The following is a 3919-nucleotide window of genomic DNA, read 5'->3' as shown; positions in this document are numbered from 1 at the left end:
ATCTATCTATCTATCTATCTATCTATCTATCTATCATCTATCATCTGTCTATCATCTATCTATCTAATCCATCTATCTATCTATCTATCTCTATATCCATATGCTTAACATGTTTTTGCATGTGTCTCTATGTTTCAAAAGCCTATTTAAATAAATCTTTCATGGCCTTTTAGTCTTTAGAGGGAAGGTGAGGCTGTTTATATTACAGGAACATATTTTATTTGCCCACAGCAGCCAGAGCACAGCATGCTATTACTATAAATGGGGCATGATAGTGTTTTGTTATGAAACGTCTTTTGATGTAGGACAGCTACAGCCCAATGACTTCCAAATATATTTCATCCTACTGTAAAAAATAAAATGACAGATCTTCTCATGGCCACGGGGTCTCTGCACACATTTCCAGGAACTTGAGGCCATTTACTAAATCCAAACAGATAAACATTGTTTTAATGGTGATAAATGTGTCCACTCACCTTTGAACAAGGCATGCCTCCTACTCCTAGCCTCTCATGTCTGAAGCCCAGCATGAAGCAGTCGGTCTGGGTAAAAAAGGAGGAACATACTTGAATATCTTCTTGAGACATAACACCAATCCTCCAAGTTGTTCCACAGACCACCCCGATTATTCCTTACCCCACCATCCCATTTGAAAAAAACCCATTAATCTGGTAGTCTCTTTATTTCCCCTCAAAGGCAGCTCAACTTTAGAACAAAATGCTTAGGGGGAAAAAATACTTTCATTTAAAAACAGCAATACTCTCAAGTTTAGGAATTGAAGAAACTGAGATTATTGTTCCAAGTTCTTCCCTAGTCTCTGGGTCTTCCCTTGCAGTCCCTTTGTGCATATACATTTCACACAACTGTTCATGCAGGTCTGGAAGGGGGTCTTGCTGAGGATATTCATGGCAGTGGTATTTGCAGTAGTAGCAGGAGTTAGATTCAGGCAGCAAGCAACCCATCTGCAGGAAGTGGACAAGTAAAATGTGGTAAAAATATGCTATGGACACCATGCAATGATTAGAAGCATATCAGTTATCTATTGCTGTGTAACAAATTACTCCAAGTTTAACATCTTAAAATAACAAACATTTATTATATCATGGTCTCTATGGGCGAGGAGCCAGCATGGTGTAGCTGAGTCCTTTGGCTCAGGGTCTCTTACAATGCTGCAATCAAGTGTTGGCAAGAGCTATGGGTCCTCTCAAGTCTCTACTAGACTAGAATAGGATTTGCTTCCAAGCTCACCCACGAGGCTGTTGGCAGGATTCAATTCCTCACTGCTATTGGACTGAGGGCTTCAATTCCTTGCTGGCTGTTGGCTGGAAGCCTCTCTCCAGTCTTTGCTGTTAGGCTTTCTATAAGGTGGCTCTCAAAATTTCAGCTGGCTTCCACCAGAGTGAGCAAGGGAGGGCACAAGAGAAGAAGACAAAGGCTTTTTATAACTTAGTCTCAAAAGTAACATACTGTCACTTTTTGCCACATTCTGTTCACTAAGTGCAGGTCACTAAGTATAGTCCACAATCAAGGTAAGGTGATTGTACAGGGACATGGGTACCAACAGGGCACCATTATTGGGAGCCACCTTAAGAGCTGCCTACCACAAGAAACAACAGGTCAAAGGACCATGCAGCATTAAACACAATACTTAACAGAAAAAGGCAAGAGTTAGGGTGAAGTCTGCAGCAGAATACAATATGTTTAAATTAAAATACACAGGAACAATGTTATATGCTTTACAAAGATACAAACAAATTCAGAGTATAAAACAATCACATTGTAATGTTTGCCTGCTGGGCATGGAGAGCTGGTGGGGAAATGAGAATAAATAACCACATAAATCCAGAGAAGGGCCTTGTAGATACAGAATTAAATTGTGTACTATAAACTCAAGACCAAGTTCAACTCCTTGCACATGAGGTTCAAAAGAAAGGAAAAGTAAAGTAACAAAACACATACTCTGGGTCTCTCAAACACTCAAGTTCCCATGGAAGGATCTTATCAAGATCGATGTCTGAGGGAGCTCCCCACCCAATGTCACACTGGATTAAAGTCATCTCAAAGTCTCAGAGATTCTTACCGAGTAAAAGTAGCATCCGTGTTAGTGTGGCATACCTTGGGGTCTGTAAGACAGCTCTAAGAATTCAATGTACATAAGACATATCCACTTGGTGACCAAGTGTCTCAGGACTAAAGGCTTTCCTGAATGTGGGACTTTCAATGCTAAAACTTGGATAATTTGGTCACCTTATCACCTGAGGAGTTTGTCTACAAATGCAAATTGAAGCATCCTCACAAGTGATTCTGATTCAGTTTGCCTGAGCAGGACCAGTAATCCGCAGGCGAAGCAGAGCCAGAAGTCCTTCTAATATAGATGGTCCATGGACCACCCTTCTAGAATTCTCTGTTACAGAAGGGCAGTTTTGAAAGCTACTTCTGGTAGCACCAAAGGTGACAGCCACTCTCAAGTCTGTAATCACAAATCTCATGCAGCCAACTGCTGCAGTATCACCATTACCTGTTGATAATCCCAGGGCTCTAGTTCACAGTTCATTGATTCTAGTATTTCTCTTCCACAGAAGGCAGACCTCAAGATCCAGGAGGCAAAGTTCAGGAAGGGGTCAAGACAGGAGTTTGAGAAGCAAGATTTTCCTGACTGGCTGTTAGAAGAAACCACATCCCACGGCTGGATTAGCCATCTCCAGAAAAGTCTGGCGGAAGTTACCCACCCACACGACAATCTGAAGAATGTGCTTGTAAGATTAAAGTGATCTCTAGGTCTTCAGGAAGCAGCTGCGTCAAATGTAATCTCTGTAAAATATTTTTCATATTTAGAAAATATAAAAGGTTACACAAGTACATTAACATGATAAAATAATGATGAGATAATGGCAAGTGTCTCTCAAATCTAGCTAGAGGAGGAGGGGAGTCCTGATGCTGACATCGAGGGGAGGGGATTTTGGGAAGGTGCAGATATATTAGGTAGACATACCACCATTAAAAGGGTGTGTCAAACCATAAAAGTTTGTAAAATATTCTTAGTAACCAATCAATAGTCCTCGCTCTATTTTTATAGTCACAGAGTAATCTTTTGATCTCCCATTATTCTTTGCTCTCTAAATACAGATTGAGTAACTTCTATGTGAGAGGTACTGTGAGAAATATTTGTATTTTGGTCTTAATTTTTTGTTGGATTTTAGGTTTTATGAAGGTAGACTCTAACTAGCAGAAGACGAATGCAAATAAAGCAGTATTTTCATGGTTTCAAAGAAGTCAGCTGTAGTGATAAGAGCAGTTATGGTTTTAGAGTCCTCCAGAAGCCAACCCGGAGACAAGAATCCAAGTAGTTTTGGGAAACGATCCCAGGAAATACATAAAAGAGAGTGGAGAGTAAGTTAGGGAAGGCAAAGGAGCTGACAGAAGGTATCTGCCAAGCCAATTACCATTGCGGGCAACTGATGTTACAGCCTGCTGGGGAAGTCTGGGAGACAATAAGAGATTCTATGCTGTCCACACTCTAGAATAGGGTTCAGAGTTATTCCTAACAAGGGGTATTCATCCACTGACTCTCCATTGGTCATTGTCTGAGTGTCGCTTCTTGGGAGACTGATTACATCTCAGAAACTTCTGCTCTGCCCTGTATGAGAGCTGAGCATGCTATCTTGACTACAGAGAGTCACGAATGTTTTCTATAAACAGGTTGAGAATGTAGAGACAAATACCAAGAGGATGTGGGTGGGCTAGCAACAGCATCTGCCATAATAGCTCGCAGTTGCTGCATGCTTACAGGGTTCCACGGACTAGATTAAATGTATATTATCTCATTTAATATCTGATTAATATTCTTGATTTTCCAGATAAGGAAACAGATGTGAAGTGAAAAGAGACTTGTATATGATCTCACAGTCAGCACATGGTG

At 40.8% G+C, this 3919-nt stretch overlaps 1 annotated feature.

Annotated features, from left to right (window-relative positions):
• Positions 2207-3406: an enhancer, noted in NCBI's record as "BRD4-independent group 4 enhancer chr2:218125637-218126836 (GRCh37/hg19 assembly coordinates)". NCBI's record gives its function as "activates an origin of replication core promoter dependent on BRD2, P300/CBP, MED14 and CDK7 cofactors, and independent of BRD4, by STARR-seq in HCT116 cells {active_cell/tissue: HCT116}" and the evidence as "EXISTENCE:reporter gene assay evidence [ECO:0000049][PMID:35650434]".

The sequence above is a fragment of the Homo sapiens genome, chromosome 2, assembly GCF_000001405.40.
Source record: "Homo sapiens chromosome 2, GRCh38.p14 Primary Assembly".
Taxonomy (NCBI): Eukaryota; Metazoa; Chordata; class Mammalia; order Primates; family Hominidae; genus Homo; species Homo sapiens.
Note: the sequence above shows the minus strand (reverse complement) of the source record. Positions and strands in the feature narration are given on the sequence as shown.